At 37.4% G+C, this 21,576-nt stretch overlaps 1 protein-coding gene across 7 annotated transcripts in view, besides 1 other annotated feature; it reads right to left on the bottom strand.

The window, feature by feature from the left end:
* UBE2E2 (ubiquitin conjugating enzyme E2 E2) overlaps positions 1-21,576 on the bottom strand; it is a 388,828-nt gene that overhangs the window by 254,922 nt on the left and 112,330 nt on the right. For 2 of the 7 annotated variants that reach the window (XM_017007126.2, XM_047448844.1), the window contains exon 4: positions 4,503-4,835. The exons of the other annotated variants lie outside the window; for them this stretch is intronic. In XM_017007126.2, the coding sequence (XP_016862615.2) occupies positions 4,694-4,835 (142 nt within the window). In that variant the 3' untranslated portion in view covers positions 4,503-4,693. Of the gene's footprint in view, positions 1-4,502; positions 4,836-21,576 lie in introns of those variants that run through there. 7 annotated transcript variants of the gene reach the window in all.
* Positions 16,818-16,947: an enhancer, noted in NCBI's record as "active region_19594". NCBI's record gives its function as "activates an Ori minimal core promoter by ATAC-STARR-seq in GM12878 lymphoblastoid cells {active_cell/tissue: GM12878}" and the evidence as "EXISTENCE:reporter gene assay evidence [ECO:0000049][PMID:35858748]".

Below are 21,576 nucleotides of genomic sequence, written 5' to 3'. Positions count from 1 at the left end.
ACACACTGGCTAATTTTTCTATTTTTTGTAGAGATGGGGTTTCATCATGTTGCCCAGACTGGTCTCAAACTCCTGAGCTGAACTGATCCACCCGCCTCAGTCTCCCAAAGTGCTGGGATTACAGGCATGCAACACCGCACCCGGCCAATCAGCCAAATTCTTATCCAGCAAATGGAGAAACACTGTTAAAACTGATTAACATAATGAGCTTATGGCCAAATTAACAGTAATAATAAAAGCCAAAACCCCAAACACACAATTAAAAAGCATAATCAACTATTTTTTTCTCAAAAGTTCATTACAGTATTGGATTTCGTTAACTATCACTTATTTTAAATCCAACTGCTTTGAGATACGCAATATCTACGTTAGCCTGCTTTATGTACTTGTTACAATTTTACATTAAAGATCATTTATGTTGGCTTAAGGACTAATGCAAGGACCAGTATGTCTAAAGGAGATGGTGATTGGAAATTTTTAGATGTTCTGTCACTGCCACTGATTCTGTATTCTCAGTTCAGCAGACCTCCTGACAAAACTTTTACTATCATGTGATTGAAGAAATAAATGGGCCTTTAAATGTACTTTGCCACTAAAGTAACTTAATTTGCCTATAGGAAATATGGGAAAGATTACGACTTTTACTCTTGCAGATACAGTATATTTTTTAGAATCAGAAGCCCATTTTATTTCTCAGAAAGTAACATGATAAGGACTATAATTCATTGCAACTGGTTTCTCCTCTCTTCCCCTTTTTCTTCCCTCCTTTTCCCCCCATTCTGGTACAATTATTATTTCCTTGCATCTCAGGAAACCTGAACCAACATATTAGGAAACTGATTATTTCAAATCAACAATAATTAAAAAATAATTTTTATTTTTAAAATGTTAAAACAATGTTCCTCTTTCACTTTTACTAGTAAGTGAAAATAAGACAGTCTTCTTCAAGAGCACAGCAGGTATCATAAAAAAATGAAATAATCTTACTTTAATCACTCATGTCTGAGAGAATGATGAACACGGTATCTGGTATTTTGAGGCACTGGGGAGGCTTACCCTACTTATTATGTTATCAGTATTTTTGAGCAAAGAGCTAAGTCAAACTGTACACCTTTTACCTTGTTCGTAGTAAGTTTTGTGACTTTTCAATTTAAAAAAATTATTCATTAAGGCTGGACGTGGTGGCTCACACCTGTAATCCCAGCACTTTGGGAGGCCAAAGTGGGAGAATCTCTTGAGCACAGGAGTTCAAGACCAGCCTGAACAACACAGTGAGACCCCATCTCTACAAAAATTTTAAAATTAGCCAGGTGAGGTGGCATATGCCTGTAGTCCCAGCTACTCAGGAGGCTGAGGTGGGATGATCACTTGAGCCCAGGAGTCCCCAGCTGCAGTGAGTGAGCCATGATAGTGCCACTGCACAACAGCTTGAGTGACAGAGTAAGACCATGTCTCTTAAAAAACCTTTTTTAAATTTCACTAAACAGTAATTACACTGCATAAAATTCAAGATGCATTAATATAGACACTGCTACAAGAAATAAGCAAATCCAAGAAATACTATAGTTTATTTTACTACCTCCGCAATCTACCCCCGAAAATGCCTTATATGTCTGTGATTTAGTCAAAATAAATACTTGTCTTTATTTAAATCTATAGAAAGGAAGGGCAGAAATGAACTACGCCAATGAAAGCCAGGGTCAGTCTCCCCATATTTTTATTTTTTCTTCGTCTTTACCATATCAGCTTCTTTAATTTTTACCCCCATCAGAATTGACCAGCACTAATAAAATGATGGTAATATTCCTTTCTCTTCTAACTCCAAGGATTCACCAAATATTTAAGGAAATATATTTGAGACCCACAAAATAACCCATTTGAAAGCACAGCAAAAGAAGAATTAAGATGCCTGGAAATCTATACAACTGGAAAATAAATCATTTTATTTAGGAATGGTACTCATTTATGTGCATATTTAATGTGATATCTGCCAGAGCTTTTAAGGCTCAAAAGTTTCCTTTCTCTCAAATTTTCACAAAATGGAAATTTCAATTGCATCATAAATGTAAAGATCTTTATAGACCAAGAAAAAAAATAGCTGAATTTCAAACAGAACAGACAGCTATTCTGGATAATTCACATATCAATAGCTGATCAATATAAGATCAATCTGAATCATATAGCTAACTGCCTTTTTCCAAAGCCTGTGGCTGAATGTGCTCCTGCCCAGAAAAATACATTAGAAGGTCTGCCCTGGAGGCATGAAAAGCATCACCTTAGCAAAAGGAAAAACATAATACAGTTGATCTTTCATCAGTACCAAAATATGCTAGTACAGCTTACTGAATGTTTGCTATTATTTTCTTGTTTGCATTCTTATTCAAAACATACCTTTTTATCCAAAAGTCATTCTAGATTATTTAAAATAAACTTCGAAATTATAGTTATAATTTCTTCACTTACTATGTTTTATTTTGGAATTTCTGGTCATTAAAAAATGGTGAAATATAAATATACTAGCCTCTTTTTGTACACTAAAATCTTTTCCTATGAGTAGGTACCACCAATACGCAGTTGTAGGACGTTTACACACCAACGGCTGTGCCCCATCAATAGTGATGGAGAAAGAGATCTCGAGGGCTTAGAAGACAAAGACAAAGAGATTTCTTGAAAGTCTTCTCATAATCTCAAAAAAAAAATACAATAAATCATCCCCAAAGTACTAGTAAGTTTTACTAGAATAAAGTAGATGAGGAAACCTTTAAATCTCTTTTTAAAAGAAAAATCAGTACAGACTATTTTATTACTACGAGGTTTTGCCATTACTTTTAATGGCAAAAACCACAATTACTTTTGCACCAACCTAATAAAATATGTCTTGTTACTAGATATGAGAGTGCATATTTCAATTTAAGATAAGTTTTGAGTAAGGATAGAAACTGCTTCTTTTCTAAATAATACAAAGAATCAAATTAATGTTGATCTTTCTGTGAGGACAAAATGCATCAACAACTGAAACTTTTAATTTAACAATAATACAATTGAAAGAACATGAGATCTTAAGTTCTATGATCTGAACTTGAGTATCAGATTCTAGTATTTACTAGTCTGTTATCTTAGGCTAGTTACCTAACCTTTACAAAGCTTGATTTATTCATGTTATGTGGAGGTGATGACTAATATATCTCTCATAAATACATTCAGACATATATCAGATATATCTCTCAGATATATTCATGTCCTTTAATACTCAGAAGCAAATATTTTCTACACTGCGAACTACTACGAGATACTACTGCTCCTACTATTACTAACAATAATACACAAGATTATAAATACTGTCAAATTATTTTAACACTGTCATTCATCATTCTCTTGTAATGGAAACAAATGAAGGCTAGGAAAGCTTTGTAGGGTCTTAATTTTTTCTCTTGCAGGTGAAAAAAACTGAGTCAAATAGGCATGGCAGGCAATTTTGTGGCAGAAAATCTGTCTCCTAGGAGTACAAAAGGTTTAGGGGGAGTTGGGGAGGAAAACCTGTCCCTGAGGTTCTCCCTCCCTACTGCTGATATGAAACATCAAAATGTCTTTTAGTCCTAATAACTCTGTTTCTCTTAAAGAAAAAAATAACCAAGGCTAGTCACTGAAATGTCCTATAACTTATTCTCTCAGTCTTTTATAGCCTTCGAAAGAGACATAGATAAATATCATATTTGATGAACACTGGGTATGAAATTTAAGAAACATTTAAATTGAAAAAGAACCCTTTCTTCAAAGCTCTAGAAGCTCAGGACTCTCTGCATTTGACATGCCTCCATGATCCCCTGGAACACAGTTTGAAAACCACTAGTCTCAGAGAGCCTTGCAGGGCATTAGGTATTTCAGATTAAGGCTGAAATTATGATCTATTAAAGAACAGAACCAATATAGAGATATCAGTGGGACCTGCAGATGAGGGAGAGTAATACATCACCAATGTCATACTTTTCCTAGTAATTTTCACAAATCTCTGCTTCAAAATAGAGGCTTTTATCACCTGTAAAACGAAACGTATAGCTGTATTTTCCAGGGCTAACAGCCATGCACACCTGTCATCACTTTTTAGAAGTGTCAAGGGAGTCTTATAAAGTGCTGGGTTTCTTTTAAATTATCAAAATGATTTCAAGTCTTAGTGACACACATTTGGTTGGCATCTAGAAGTGATTTCCCAGGTAACTAAATACTACTCCTTTTCTCAAACAAAAACATCACCTGATAAATTTCCTAGAGAGATATCCATAGCTGCACACACACACACACACACACACACACACACACACACACACACACCCCACTGGCTGCCAGGAAGCTCAAAGCTAAAATTTGTGTTCAAATGCACCAATTTCCTTAGCCCAGTTTTCTGTCACAATTATTTTCTTTCGTTACATAAATCCTATTAACTTTTCTTTCTTCAAAATCTTATTACATACAGTTTTTAAATTTTAAAGTCACATGCTTTTAAATGTTTTTCCCCAGTGATTTATCTTTATTTTAATAATTGCCATGTATGCATTTGTTTTTCAGAAGTGGCAAGATGCCCAGGTACAATGGCTCATGCTTGTGGGGGTTGAGGCAGGTGGACTGCTTGAGCCCAGGAGTTCAAGACCATCCTGGGCAACATCATGAAGCCCCATCTCTACTAAAAATACAAAAATTAGCCAGGCATAATGGCACAGCACTTGTAGTCCCAGCTACTCAGGAGGATGAGGTAGGAGGATCGATGCCCAGGAGGTCGAGGCTGCAGCGATCCGACATCATGCCACTCTGTACTCTTGCCTGGGCGACCGAAACCCCATCTCAAAAAGAAAAAAAAGTGGAAAGATATAAATAATAAAGCACTGAATATACAAAATATACAGCAATAGCATTAATACAAATTATTCCACAATATTCCTTTACATACTTTAAAATTTTTTAAATCAATTATTTCAGATCCGTATTAAGGTAAAGAAGCATAGGACTTTAGAAGTAAAAAGGCCATGCAAAATTATCCAGTCCAACTTCATCTTTTAAAAAAAATTTTAAAATTAGTTGCATTAAATTCTTGTCTTTCTGCTGTCATTTACTAAGCAACTAGACAAGTATACACAAATGACCAAATGTTCCTTTAGAAATGTAAGCTAAATCATGTGACTACTCTGTTCAAAACCCTTAGTGATTTCTCATCTCACATAAACCAAAGTCTTTACCATATCCTACGGGATTCATCATGGCTCAATCCCCTACTTCCTCTCTCTCATCTCCTCCCACTCTTTCCATGGCTCACTCCTCTCCAGTCACTCTAATCTCCCACTGGTCCCTCTAACATGTCAGCATGCCCTTTTCTACCTCAGACACTCTTCTACCAGACAAATTAGCACACCTTGTCCCCTCCTCACCATCTTATGGTCTTTGTGTCACTTTGTCAGAGAGGTCTTCTCTGATCACCCTATCTGAAATCACCACCTTACCCCCCTCCCTGCCCCCATCCATTGACAGCTATCTCTCTGCTCTCTTCCCAGCTTGACTTTGCTCCAAAGTATTTATTACATTTTGACATATGATATAGTTTATTTGTTCATTTTCTTCTTCCTCCACTACAATGTAAACTCCAGGTTGGCAGTACTTTGTTTTCTTTGTTTGGTTCATTACTATCTCTCTGGCACCTAAACAATGCACCTAAACCTGGCACCTATCAGGTACTGAACAAATATCTGTTTAATGACTTAAAGACTGACTTATTGAATCAAGCTGTTTCTACTCTGCTTTGTACCAATATTCCATTTTCTACATTTTAAAAGTGTTTGTGCCACTTACCCAAACATGTATTCTGACACTAATGGAAAAAATTCAAAAGAACTTCATGAGAACATTTAAGATGTGAACTTCGCTTTGATTTACTTTTAAAATCCAAAGTAATACATAAATAGGTTGAAAGAAAATGAAGAGAAAAAGATATTCCATGCAAACATTAATTTTTTTAAAAAAGAAAAAAGCAAGAATAGTCAACTAATATATTAATTATATGCATAAACTACCTAGGTATTACAGAATCATAAAAGATAATTAGAAAAAATTAAGTAGCTTAACAGTTTCATTCTAATCTTTTTTAATAACAATAAATCCTTTCTTATATACTTTTATTAAGGAAGACTAAATATGCTCTTTGGACAAAACTAACCTCAAATGTGTTTTCTGAGCCTAGGATAGTAATTCGATCTGTTCTTAGAATGCAACTATGCAAACAAAAAGAACTGAAAAGTCTGGAGCATTTTAGAATCCTAAATTCATTCATCCCACATTTTTTCTAGTCCAATCTTGATGCATAAAGCTGCTGGACAATGAAGGGGTCATGTGAATTCTCTCCATACACCTCCAGGGAAAGCACTCTGCCTTATCCAAATTCAAGTGACTCAATTAGGGGACACCCAAATCATTCCTCCTTGTAATTCGTGTACTATTCAATATATAATGTGGACCACAGGATTCTAATCTTTCTTGTACTTATGTGTCAAAGTTTTAAAAACAGCTGTCACCTACCTCCTATAGAATAAATGTATTCTGCCAGCAACGTAGACTAAGTTTACTTTTGTAAGGATTCTTTATTTTTCAATGTTTACTTCCATACAATAAAATAAGAGAAGAGCTCTTTCAAAGTCTTTATTTCTAAAGCCTGGAAGTATGCTAATAGAGACTAATGAGTTCATGTAATTGAAAGTATTACATTTAGAGCTGTGAAAAGAGGGTACTAAGTTCAGCTCTGAAGTACATATTTACAGACCAACTTTATTTAAATTTGCTCATTAACACTTTAGTTTTAAAATAATTTCTGACTTCTGAATATTTTAGGAGGCAGTCTCCATTCTAGGAAAGCTGAGGAAAGGCTAGCTTCTCGAGTGTTTCTTTTATCCCATGCCTACTGTACTAAAATGTATGGGGTAGCATCACAGAAATAAAAATTTTTAACAAGATTCCTGTTTTTTTAAATGCACAATTAAGATCAGCAGCTTTGTTGTAAACTACCACTTAATGCAGAAGCAGGATGCTTTGTAATACTTTTTATTCTTGCCAAATACAGAACTTCTCCATTCTTCCAGAGTGGTCAAGTTTTAAGATCACTAAAATATTTTAAAAGGGAAGAGTACAAATTGTATTAATATCACAGACAGTAAAGATGGTGGGGATTTCCTGGGAAATTCCTTGTTTCCAAAGACCCATGTACGGCAACGTTCTCCAGAGAAGACCAGGAGGAATTTGCAGATAAGACTACAGCTAAGCCTTGATGGAAGACTTCCTAGCCAACAATCAGAACAACTGTGCCGCCATCCAGTGTGTGTGCCAATGGTGGCAAGCCAGTCTGAGCCACCGGCTCCAATTAGTTGTTGTATCTAATTAGCTTGCATACCAATGGAAACAATAATATTGAGAAAATTTAACAATCTCTCATCAAAGCTTAATATTTAAATTCCTTGCGTCAATTCATTTACAACCATTTGGCAGAGAATCTGCCCTTTTGCCTGCCTAAATACCAACTGTCTGCCTACTATTCTGTCTTGATACTTCGGCAAAATATAAACACTCATTTACTTTTAACTGTTTCCAGAACATTCAAAACAAACTATAAAGCGAAAATTATATATAATTTTATCCCCCACAGCAACTGATAAAATTTATTGAATGTTCACTCAGTGGACATTTCCTGATGTCCATTCTGACAGAGGGAGCCTTGCTTGTGTTAGAAACTCCATAAATATTTGCCTATTTGGTTTGCCTTTTCAAAATACTGACTTTCCCCTATAACTACAGTTTCCTATTATCAAATAAAAAATTCATGTCTGAGAATTCTCATCTTTTCACTAAACACTAAAATGTTCAACAAAAATTTTGTTACATTTTCAAGAGAAATCAATGTCTACTTTAGCAAATAAGATCCAGGGAGAAGGGGGCAAGGGCGTAAGTATTGAGTATTGTACTCAATTTAAATAGTGCATGTGCAAAAAGCCTATCGAGATTAAGGCATTTTAGGCCGGGCACGATGGCTCATGCCTGTAATCCCAGCAATTTGGGAGACCGAGGTGGGCGGATCATTTGAGGTCAGGCGTTCGAGACCAGCTTGGCCAACATGGTGAAACCCCGTCTCTACAAAAAATATAAAAATCAGCCGGGCATGGTGGCGGGCACCTGTAATCCCAGCTACTCAGGAGGCTGAGGCAGGAGAATCGCTTGAATCTAGGAGGCAGAGGTTGCAATGAGTCAAGATCGCGCCACTGCACTTAGCGTGGGCGACAGAGCGAGACTCCGTCTCAAAACAAAAAAAAAAAAAGAGAGAGAGAGATTACGGCATTTTAGCTAAATGAATCTACAGATGTGACTAAACTTACAATGGTGTTACATCCCAATAAAGCCATCATAAACTGAAAATATCCAAAGTCAAAAATGCATTTATATACCTAACCTACTAAAACATCATAGCTTTACCCTAGCCTATCTTAAACATGCTTGAATACTTACATTAGCCTACAGTTGGGCAAAATATGGCACAATCTAACACAAAGCTTATTTTAAATAAAATGTTGAACATTTCCTGTAACTCACTGAATACCACACTGAAGTACATTTTCTACTGAATGTTTATCACTTTTGCACCATCATAAAGTCAAAAAAATTTAAATCTAACCATTGTAAGTCAGGGACCAACTGTATTTTATAGATTCAAAGATGACACAGAGATAGAAGGTTCTTTTTAGAGATTATCTAATGTAATTTTTTATTTTGCAAATTAGGAAATTTGCTTGTCAAGATTACTGCATGCCTCATATTTCTTTTCTTTTTTATTGTCGCAAATTATCCAGAAATGTTGCATTGATTTTCATATTAGATCACAAAAAAAGAAAACATTTGATTTCCTCAGTATTTATATATCATGACCACTGCTCTGTTTATGGTAATAAGACAACATAAGTATACTTATTGTATACTGCATATAATATGTACAATAAGTACATAAGTTCTTATTGTATACTTATTGCAAATACTACATAATTATTAAGCGAGAAATCAGCATACTTCTATCATCCTATAATTGAGATTGACAGAAATCTAGAATGACATTTCATGAAATCAGAACCCTGAAAAACTTAATCTTCACAAACTCCTAGACAACACCAACTCCTAATTTATGCACAGAAGTTTTGTCTGAACCTCATGAGCAGGTTTACAACACTTTTTTCAGACCTGCAAAATGTTTCACCAGTCTATAAAATTTTGTCGAGCCTTTGCTTTGCAAAAGGAAAAAAGAGAACGAGTCACATACCTTCACTGAAAGAATTAGAAAAAGCAATTCCAGAATAACATCCCAAGTGACAGTCTAATACTAACTGCAGCCACAAACAAACCTGCCTATAAGAACAATAAATAATCTTTCTGTATTGGTTGATACAAGTATTTGTCCTAGTTAAAAGGCTGCTTAAGGAGTTTCATGTTAGTAAAATAGAGTAGATGATGGTGAGAGGAAAGGGGTGGTATATCAGATTCCGTATTGCAGATTAAACTTTATGTGCCATTACCATCAGAGAAATGCAAATCAAAACCACAATGAGATATCATCTCACACCAGTTAGAATGGCGATCATTAAAAAGTCAGGAAACAACAGGTGCTGGAGAGGATGTGGAGAAATAGGAACACTTTTACACTGTTGGTGGGACTGTAAACTAGTTCAACCATTGTGGAAGACAGTGTGGTGATTCCTCAAGGACCTAGAACTAGAAGTACTATTTGACCCAGCCATTCCATTACTGGGTATATATCCAAAGGATTATAAATCATGCTGCTATAAAGACATATGCACATGTATGTTTATTGCAGCACTATTCACAATAGCAAAGACTTGGAACCAACCCAAATGTCCAACAATGACAGACTGGATTAAGAAAATGTGGCACATAAACACCACGGAATACCATGCAGCCATAAAAAAGGATGAGTTCATGTCCTTTGCAGGGACATGGATGAAGCTGGAAACCATCATTCTCAGCAAACTATCGCAAGGACAGAAAACCAAACATCGCATGTTCTCACTCATAGGTAGGAATTGAACAATAAGAACACTTGGACACAGGGTGGGGAACATCCCACACCAGGGCCTGTGGTGGGGTGGGGGGAGTGGGGAGGGACAGCATTAGGAGATATACCTAATGTAAATGACGAGTTAATGGGTGCAGCGCACCAACATGGGACATGTACACATATATAACAAACCTGCACGTTGTGCACATGTACCCAAGAACTTAAAGTATAAAACAAAAACAAACAAACAAAAAACCTTTATGTGCCATTAAAAGACTTCTGGAAAATCTCAAGTCAAAACTACATACAACCTCATACTTTTTTTTGTATAGGATATGTGACATTAATCATAAATTATTTAGAAAAAGGCAAGGGACAGACACATCTTAAATGTTTCTTTTAATCTAACCAATTTAAGAACATAAAAATCTCAGCAGCTGCTCAAAGGGTTAATTCCAAAAACTCAGAAATTTTTCAAAAAATGTTTTGAAAAATCTTGAAAAGCCAGATAATTGGTACCCTTCTCTTCCTTTTTAAAAGATTACAGATGGCCAGGCACGGTGGCTCAAGCCTATAATCCCAGCACTTTGGGAGGCCAAGGCAGGCAGATCACCTGAAGTCAGTAGCTCGAGAACAGCCTGGCCAAAATGGTGAAACACCGTTTCCACTAAAAATACAAAATTAGCCAGGCTTGGTGGCAGGCGCCTGTAATCCCAGCTACTCGGGAGGCTGAGGCAAGAGAATCACTTGAACCCCAGGGGTGGAGGTTGCAGTGAGCCAAGATCGCGCCACTGCACTCCAGCCTGGGCGAGAAAGCAAGACTCCACCTCAAAAATAAATAAATAAAAATAAAAGATTACAAAGCATGTATCTACAAGAAGTCAAAATGAGACAGAAAATTATATTTGGGAGTCTCCAAGAATCAAATGGTATCCTCTACCACCTAAACATGAATTCAGAAAAAGTATCAGGTTAAAAATATTTGTTCTTTCCCCTCATTACTCACAGTGTGACTATATCACTCATCACCCAAACCACAACACTGGAAAGTGAAAAAGGGTGATATTGATAATTTTGCCAGGATAAGAGAAGTTAGGATATAAGGGCTCCCTAGTTATTTTTATAATGGTCTCTCCTCTACTAGACCGAAGGTCAGTGATACGGAGGGGTTAGATATTCACTATTATATTTCTCACAGTAGCACATTCTCTCACACAAACTAAGCAGTCAAGCCTCACATGGTGAAAAATGAAACAAATACACCGGAGAGGACGTTCATAACTACTTAGCAAAGTGTAAACATTCTGACTAGTGGACAAAGACTAAGTGTGTAAGTCTATGGGTTTAGACTTTAAAACTCAAGAAAAGAATGAGAATGGAAATTACTTATGCTATCCCATTAAATATATCTAATGTTTTCTGTATACTAAAGGACCTACAAGTGTTCAAATCCTAACAGTAAAATCTTAAGAGTCATCACTAGTCAAGAAAAAGCTTCTGAAAGTATGGTATACTCCTGGTAAGTGAATAATGTGGGAATATATTTCTCCTCCAGCCCAGCCTCAGATTAGTATGTAAATTGTGAAAAGAGTACACAAATTGAATGTTTTTATTTGCTTTTCAATTGTTTCATGAATATTTACTATACAAAACACATTTTATTATTAAATCTAAATCCTTGTCCCAAAGGAAAAAAAAACACACAATAGCTTTATTGTGGCTACTTCAATTCTTAAAAGAGTAAAATAACCTAATAATTGTTTCTTACTGATCAAAAGTAATGTGTGCCTAGAAGATTCAAAACTGCTAAAGTTTCCTGATGGTACATAAGGACCTATATTCTGTACTGCTTCTCAACAACTTTGTATCAGCTTATCTAGTTTTCATTAGGACTAGTCCTGCTTGGCGGCAGAAAGCAATTGGTGTAGTTAAAATATTTATAGTTTCATTTCAGTTCCACTGTGGTTTGTTGAACAGACATAAAACCACAATCTTTATCATATGTGTCACTTCCTGTAATTCACAACTGAACCCAATTCCACTATTCATTATATAACACACTATTTAACAAAACAAAATACCACAGATAAAGAAAATAATTAGAATCCATTTAGGTTTTTTTTTTTTAAATTCTTTTCTCCAAGAGAGGTGTGAAAAGATCTTGAAAATCTGAAGAGGCATTTCCTAAGTGCTTTTCTTTCCTGCAGCTTTACTCAATTATACATAAGTCATCAATGCCTGTGATAACAGGATACAAAAAATAATAAGGATGCAGCACAAACAACCTAACTTTTTTATAGTTCTTCACACCTAAAATTTAAGAAATCAGCTAACAAATAACAAAACTGAAGGATGTAAACTTCATTTCCTATTCCACCTTCTGGTACTGCAGCTAATAAACAGGGAAATGGTCTACAGGTAGCTGGTAAAAGAAAGAGAGGAAAGGCAGAGAAAACACAAGAGCCAGTTTACCAGACACTAATTACACCTTCCTGGATGCTTCCCTTTTAAATTCCCTTCATAATTCATAAGGAATACGGTCCTTAAATTCATTTCTGGGATAGGCAAGAGTTTAGCTAGGATTTTTATTTTTAAACAAATTTAGACAAATATGAGTGACAAACTTCATTTTATAAGAAATTTAATTCGTATTTTATAAAATCACAGATTCAACTAATACAACATTACAATGAAACTGCTTCATCCAGGTCCCAAATAATCATAAGTGATGCAGTGGAACAGGAATAAACTGGCTAAGCACCAACTGAAGATATCAGAATATTTATGCAGCAAAAACCAGCAGACATCATATAGTAAGTAGTCAAAGAAATGTTTAGCATTGCACAGTTATTCCAGAAACAGGGAGTACACAATGTTTGGCTTATACAGTTTACAGACACACATCAAGCATGTACCATTTGTTCATTCATTTACTTTAAAAACATTTACTGAGCTCCATTATGGTTAATTCAAGGCCATGGAGAAGTGAAGAGGTATATCACAACTTTTGTCTTCAAGGAGCTCAATAATCAATCATGGCATGAACAAATAATACTTGTACCAAGTGAGGCAAGTACAAAAGTGCTATGAGAAAGCACAGGGGAATAAGAGATTTCTGCATCCTGTGAAAAACGGCAGCCTTCACAGAGAAGGTGACATTGAACTAAAACTAAAATAAGGACAGGAGTTTGCTAAAAGGGAAAAAAAGGAATCCTGGCATTCAGAGAAGTTTAACTTACACAAGTTGAATAGCCCTTATCTGAAATGCTTAACCCCAGAAGTGTTTTGGATATTTTATTTTTTCAGATTTTGAAATATGTGCATTATACCTACCTAGTGGGCATCCAAAATCCAAAAATCCAATTGAGAATTGAATGAGCATTTCCTTTCAGTGTTATGTTGGTGCTGAAAAAGTTGTGAATTACAAAGTGTTTTGAATTTTCGAATTTGGGATGCTCACCCCGTATTACTTACACCTGAGCTAGCCCTGGGGTCATGCCAAATGACCCAAATTGGTCTTCTTAAATCGTCTAGAATAAAAATCAAGACTTTTGTATTCCCTAGAAGAAACAAGACAGTAAGTACTACCATGACTAACCAGTAACATAAAAATAAATGGGTAACTATAGGAGCAAATTATTAAAGTTATAAAATGTAGGCAATTTACTTAAACACCAAACCTGATTCTTCATCAATAAAACAGAAATAATAAAAGCTGTCCAACCTACCTTCATAAGGTGGTTGTGAGGATCAAATATAATAACATATAGACAGCTTCTTTATCAACAGTACAGCACAAAACAAAGCAAATAATTATTTGTTTAAGCCTAATAAATCTAGATAATTCCTAATTCATGGATTCAAAAATTAAGTGAAATGTATAGACACGATATTATATATTTATATTAATACTAACTATTGACAAGTGATTTTATGTTTTACTGAACCACGTATGTTGTGAAAGGAGACAAGAAAATGCCTGTCTAATAGAAAAAATATATAAATATATAATCCTTAGGACTCTACAGCTAAGTTAAGGCTAAAATCAATTATTTATTATAGATACCAAATTAATGCTAGACAAAATAATGATAATATTAAATTATAGAGAAAATACACTGTATTTATGAAAGCTTTCTGAAAAAATACTACGCACTGCTTCAGGGATTTTTGGAAGTATTATGGTTTTTGTTCTTTCCTTTAGAGTTATATATGTAACCTTAGACTGTAAAGCTTACGAAGTTACATGCTCTCTGGACTTAATTACTTCATCAAAATGATGAGGGTGGACTAAACAAAATATAAGGTTCAAACCATCTCTAAAATAATAAAAGCATTATTAAAATAAATGAACATATACACAGAGATAGTTACCATCTTAAGATATAGACTATGAAGCTTTACAGAAAATAATTTTTAAAATACTTTGTGATTATTCCTTATCATTAATCAAGTCACATGGGGATTCTGTCCAAAAAACAGTATGTTAGACTGGGAGGAAAAACAGAAATTTCTCATAGCTTCCAGTTTTAGACATCTTGAACTCAGCTTAGATACAAATTATTAAGTGCAGGCACTAAATGTATTTAAAGTTTTTTAAAGTTTTAAAGGTATCCTACCGACCCTTTCAACTAACTGAATAAGAGAAAATTTGCAGCCCAGATGGTGACATTTACATCAAATAAATACTCATGAAAGAGATGCACTATTAAGTTCACTATGAAAAATTCCAGCTTCCAGCTAAAGGAAGACTTTGGTTATATAACTTACTAAATATTTCAAGAATAATTTCACTCATTGAATGAAAGGTTATTAGCATTCTTCTCTAACCACTTAAGTTTTTCTTCTATGTTTTGTTTATGGTACAAAAAGCAGGCTATTAAACTTTAAAATAATTTCTATTTTTATGACAAAGGATTATAAAACTTTACAGCAGTTGAGTATGTTGAAAAATAACATTGACACTAATGTGAATCATTCTCTTACGGCATAAATTACCTGATGAATTATATGTCATCCCAATCTCTACACTGGAAGGTGGTGCTTTTAAAAACGGTTCAAGGGGCTAGACTTCTAGAATGGGAGTATAAAGAGCTTGGATAAATCTCTTCTCTCCAACACTTATTAAACCAGCAAAAATTAGCAAAGACAATGATTCAGTCTCTGGAGATTGATCAGAGGGCTTACAACAAATTGTAAAACATTCATTCAACAAAATCTATCGAAATTCAGTCATAATAGTGGGAAGCCATGGCATTCGAGATAAGAGACTACCCCCATTCCCCCACAACTCTGTGTTATGGAAGAGCTATTCTAGTGGGGTCAGTTGAGTAGCAGCTCTCATCTCCTGTAGGTCCCAGGAGTAGAAGAGCTATTCCTAGGAGATTTAGCAGCTGGTGAACATCAGCAGATACTGCTTCCCAAAGCTCCATGCTACAGAAGACCTGTACCAAGTAGGTAGTAGCGGCAGCCAGGCAATGCCTGTTTTGCCACTCTGACTCTCCCTACTAGATGCCGGGAGTTGGATGGCAACATCAGTTTCTATCGTCTTCACAAACAAGTATACACACAGGTCCTGCTCTGCAGGGTAGATCCAAGTGGCACAGCTGGTAAAGAACAAGCTCTTTATGGACTGAATTGTGCCAGCCCCTCCCAAAAAAGTTGAAGTCCTAATCCCCTTCCCAAATCTGTAAGTTAATCAGAGTCGACCCTAAACCAGTATGACTGATATCCTTGTAAGAGGAGGAAAATTTGGGCATACACATATAGGGGCGAACACCATGTAAAGACACAGACACATGAGAAAAAATGCTGTGTAAATACAAAGGCAGAGATTGCAGTGATGCAGATACAAGCCAAGGAATGGCCAACGGCTGCTGGCAAACACCAGACCAGTTAGGTAAGATTCTTCCCTAAAGGTTTCTGAAGGAGAATGGCCCTGCAGACACTTGATTTTAGACTTCCAGTTCTCAGAACTGTGAGGCACTAACTTCTGTTGTTTTAAGCCACCCAGATTATGGTAATTTGTTACAGCAGCCCTAGGAAACTAATACTGTTAGGAATTAGTGGAGACAAACAGCTGAGTATGATACCAATAGACACAGACTAGTCAAAAGCTTAACAGGAGATGGGGGATGCCGGGGTGGATTAATCAAAGAGTCCAGCTAAAGCCACAATAATCCCTAGTAGTCCAGACTATACACAAATCCAAGGTCGCAGCTTCCGAGGAACAATCAGAGGGATGTTCTGTGCTACAAGCCCTTGGCTGAACCCAGGCCAAATACGTAACCTTTCTGTACAGTGAACCTTTAAAACATTATGTTAACTAAAAGACGATTCTATTTTTATATGAAATGCCCAGAACAGACAAATCTATAGAGGCAAAGTAGATTAGCAGATGCCTAGGGCTGGGGTGACTGCTATTAAAAAATACAGGATTTCTTTCCAGAATGATGGTTGCACACCTCTGTGCATGTACCAACTGAATTATTCAATTTGAATGAAGTGTATGGTATGTGAATTATATCTTAATAAAGTCATTACTAAGAAAGAAAAAGGCTATTCAAGCCTACAACTTGCAAAGAATTAGAGTGGAGTAATATATAAGAGGAAAGAAGAACAGGGGCTACTGCTTAAGCACATCCAGTTGGAGATAATAACAACTTGAACTCCTTCAATGGACACAGGGAAGAAGGGACTAATAAAGTGAAACACTGTTGAAAGAACAGTAGTACCTGCGACTGAATGTGAGAAACTAAGGGGAGAAAGATGACTATGACAACCCCCAGCTTTCTACATGGGTACCTTTACACTAGGCACTGTAATCACTCAAGTAAAGCCTGGCTTTCCCATGGGCAGGAGACTTTCACATATGGTGGCTGCAGTGGGTGTGTGACAAGTCTCCTTCTTGAAAGAAAACTATTCTCTAAGTCCACCACTGGGGAAAAACTACCAATGCTAGCCAGATCTTAGGGATCTCAGCTATGTTCCATGACACAGCTATCAGCCTTGATGCCAGAGAAGAACCATCTGTCAACAAGAGGATAGTTGTTTTTTGGTTTTTTGGGTTTTTTTTTGTTTTTTGTTTTTTGTTGTTCTTTTTTTTGACAAAGAGCCTTGCTCTGTTGCCCAGGCTGGAGTGCAGTGGTGCGATCTCCACTCACTGCAACCTCTGCCTCCCAGGTTCAAGCAATTCTCCTGCCTCAGCCTCAAAAGTAGCTAGGACTATAGGCCCCTGCCACCACATCCAGCTAATTTTTTTGTATTTTTAGTAGAGACGGGATTTCACAATGTTGGTCAGGCTGGTCTTGAACTCCTGACCTCAAATGATCTGCCTGCTGAGATTACAGGCGTGAGCCACCATGCCTGGTAGAGAAGGATAGCTTTTGGTCACAGGATTGTTGTAAGAATTAAATTTGTTAATACAAATAAAAGAAATCAGAATAGTATCTGGCACACAATCAACACTATATAAACTATAAAATGAAAACAAAACATAGCGTATTACTGAAGCTAACACACACAACATTTTCACAGAGGTAGAAGCTAAAACATTAAAGGAGATTTTGTTCACCTATAACTGTTCTCACTAAGAATGTTAAGTTTTAGAAGAACAGCCAGGTCCATTTCAGACCGAAGAGAACATCAGCAAGAGAGTAATGAATAAATTAATAAATAAATAAACACAATTCCTTCCTGTTTATTTTATAAAATTAAAAAGTTTATAAAACCAGATTTTAACCAATTTCACTTAACAGGATCAATTTGGATTAACTACAATACAAATTTGGCTTACGGTTTTAAATAAGCAGTCATGGTTTGTAAATACTTTACTGCCTATAAAGTAAAAGTAAAAGACTCTCAGTTTCTCTCAATTTAATATACATTGGCTTCTTAAACACACAACATTCTCCTTCCTCATGAAAACATTTTTTGACAAAAGGAACACTGGAAAAGATGCAATCTTAAAATAATACTCAAAACTATGTAAAGAGAAATTAATTTATAAGACAATGTATAGGCAGATTGTTATTTACACAGATATATTTCCAATTTTAACTCTTTCTTGCTTGTAAATTTTGGGAAGTGTTTGATATGGTTTGGCTGTGTCCCCACCCAAATTTCATCTTGAATGCTAACTCCCATAATTCCCATATGTTGTGGGAGGGACCTGGTGGGAGGTAATTGAATCATGGGGGCAGTTTCCCCCATACTGTTCTCGTGGTAGTGAATAAGTGGTAAGTAAAAGTCTCACCAGATCTGATGTTTTTATAAGGGGTTTCCCCTTTCACTTGGCTCTCATTTTCTCTCATGCCTGCCACCACATAGACGTGCCTTTTGCCTTCTGCCATGATTGTGAGGCTTCCCCAGCCACGTGGAACTGTGAGTCCATTAAACCTCTTTTTCTTTATAAATAACCCAGTCTTGGGTATGTCTTTATCAGCAACATGAAAATGGACCAATACATTGTTTCTCTAATAAACACTTTCAAGTTATAACCTATTGATGAATATATTTCTTAAAATATATATTGATTAAATAGCAACTTTAGTGCTAATTGTATAATCTGATTTGCTATTGGCTTCCATTTAATGAAAGGTTAGCTGTGTTGCTGGTAGTCCCAGCTACTCAGGAGGCTCAGGTGGAAGAATCACTTGAGCCTGGGAGGCTGAGGCTGCAGTAAGCTGTGATCACACCACTGCACTCCAGCCTGGGAGACAGAGCAAGACCCTGTCATTCATTCATTAATAAAAAAAATTTTTTTAAAACCCTGTCATAAATAAATACCTTTTTAAAAAAACCATTAAACACACTAGAGAAGCTTGGAATTATCCATTAGAATCAAAAAGTAGGGAGGAAACTTGTTTTTTAAAACCTAGATAAGAGGGAGTCAGAACAAGATGGCCAAATAGAAGCTCCACTGATTGTCGTCCCTACAGGAACACCAAATTTAACAACTATCTACACAAAAAAGCACCTTCATAAGAACTAAAAATCAGGTGAGCGATCACAGTACCTGGTTTTAACTTCATATTGCTGAAAGAGGCACTGAAAAGGGTAAGAAAGAGGGTCTTGAATTGCAGACATCACCCCTCCTGATACGGTTTGGCTGTGTCCCCACCCAAATCTCATTTTGAATTCCCACATGTCGTGGGAGAGACCCGGTAGGAGGTAATTGAGTCATGGGGGCAGGTCTTTCTCGTGCTGTTCTCATGATAGTGAGTAAGTCTCATAAGACCTGATGGGTTTACAATGAGGAGTTTCCCTGCACAAGCTCTCTCTGTCTGCTGCCATTCAAGTTAAAATGTGACTTACTCCTCCTTGCCTTCCACCATTGATTGTGAGGCTTCCCAGCCATGCGGAACTGTAAGTCCAATTAACCCTTTATCCTGTATAAATCACCCGGTCTCCGGTATGTTATTATCAGCAGTGTGAAAACAGACTAATACACCTCCCCATCCACCAGCAGAGACTGCATGGTGCGGAGAGACAATCTGTGCACTTGGGGGACGGAGAGCACACCAACTGTGGGCTTTGCATTGGAACTCACTGATGCCCTGTCACAGCAGAAAGCAATGCTGGGCAGAACTCAGGTGATGCCCATGAAGAAGGCATTGAGACCAGCACTAGCCACAGGGGAACTGCCCATACCAGTAGCCTGGAACTTTCACAAGCTTTACCCCCACAGTTCTAAATTAACTTGAAAGGCTGTCTAGGCCACAAGGACAACAATTCCTAGGCAAGTCCTAGTGCCGTGCTGGGCTCAGAGCCAGCACATTTGGGGGGACACATGACCTAGTGACACACCAGCCAAGGAGGCTAAAGGAGCGTATGCACCATGCTTACCCAACTCCAGGCAGCACAGCTCACAGCAACAAAAGTGGCCCTTTCCTTCTTCTTGAGGAGAGGAAAGGCACCAGTAAAGAGGACTTTGACTTATAACTTGGATACCAGCTCAGTCACAGGAGGATAGGGCACCAGAGAGAGTCCTGAGGTCCCCATTCCAGGCCCTAATTCCCTGGATGACATTTCTAGACATATCCTGGGTCAGAAGTGAGCCCACTGCCTTGAAGAGAAGCACCCAGTCCTGTCAGGATTCATCACCTGCTGACTTAAGAGCGCTTAGGCCCTAAATGATCAGCAGCAGTAGCCAAGGTAGTACATGCCGTGGGCCTTGAGCGAGACTCTGAGGCGTGCCACCATTAGGTATGACCCAGAACATTCCCAGCTGTGGTGGCTATGGGAGAGACTCCTTCTGCTTGAGAAAAGTAGAAGAAAGATTAAGGGTACTTTGTCTTGTGCCCGGCCACAATAGAGAAAAGCACCAAGTGGGCTCTTGGGGTCGCCAGTTGTAGGCCTTGGCTCTTGGACAGCATTTCTGGCCCTGTCCTGGGGCAGAGGGGAGACCACTGCCCTACGGGGGGAATTGCAAGTGTGGCAGCATTCACCACAAGCTAAGTGAAGAGCCCTTGGCCTTAGGTGAGCACTGGAGGTAGCCTAGCAGTACTCCCTGTGGGCCTGTGGTGACAATGGACCAGGGAGAGACTCCTCTGCCTGGGGTAAGGGGAAGGAAGAGTGGGAAGGACTTTGTCTTGTGGTTTCGGTGGCAGCTCAGGTGCAGTAGCACAGAGAACCAGGTAAATTTCTAAGGTTTCCACCTCCGGGCCCTCGCTCTTGGATGGCACTTCTGGACCCATACAGGACCTAAGGGAAGGCATCACCCTGAAGCCTGGTTGGTTTTGCCAACTGCTGACGGCAAAGCTCTAGGACCTTAAGCAAACACAGGCAGTAGCCAGTCAGTGGTTACAGGGGACCCTGGATAAGACTCAGTGCTGCGCTGGCTTTAGGTCTGAGCCAGTGCATTTCCAGGGGTGGCGGCCACAGGGATGCTTGTGTCACCTCTCCACCAGCTCCAGGGTAGCTCAGCACAGAGAGAATGTGCTCCATTTGTTTGGGATAAAGTAAAGGAAGAAAACAAGAGTCTCTGCCAGGTAATCCAGAGAATTCCTCCAGATCTTAACAAAGACCACCAAGATGGTACCTCTACAGGTCTGCAAGAATCACAGCATTACTAAGCTTAGGGTATCCTCTAATGGAAATACAGTTGCAGGGACTACAAACTTAGATTACAGCACTCAAGTTCCAACAAATACCTGGAAAGCCTTCCCATAAATGACGGTTACAAACAACCAAAGACTGCAAAGACTACAATAAATACTTGACTCTTCAATGCCCCAAAACCAATGAGCATCCACAAGCACTAAGACCATCCAGAAAAACATGACCTCACCAAATGAACTAAATAAGGCACCAGAGACCAATCTCGGAGAGGCAGAGTTATGCAACGATTCATACAAAAGAATTTAAAATTGCTGTTTTGAATGAACTCAAGATAATACAGAAGGAATTCAGAATCCTATCAGATACATCAAAGAGACTGAAATAATTAAAAAGCATCCAGCAGAAATCCTGTAGTTGAAAAATGCAACTGA

The sequence above is a fragment of the Homo sapiens genome, chromosome 3, assembly GCF_000001405.40.
Source record: "Homo sapiens chromosome 3, GRCh38.p14 Primary Assembly".
Classification (NCBI taxonomy): domain Eukaryota; kingdom Metazoa; phylum Chordata; class Mammalia; order Primates; family Hominidae; genus Homo; species Homo sapiens.
This window is presented reverse-complemented; position numbering and strand designations above follow the sequence as displayed.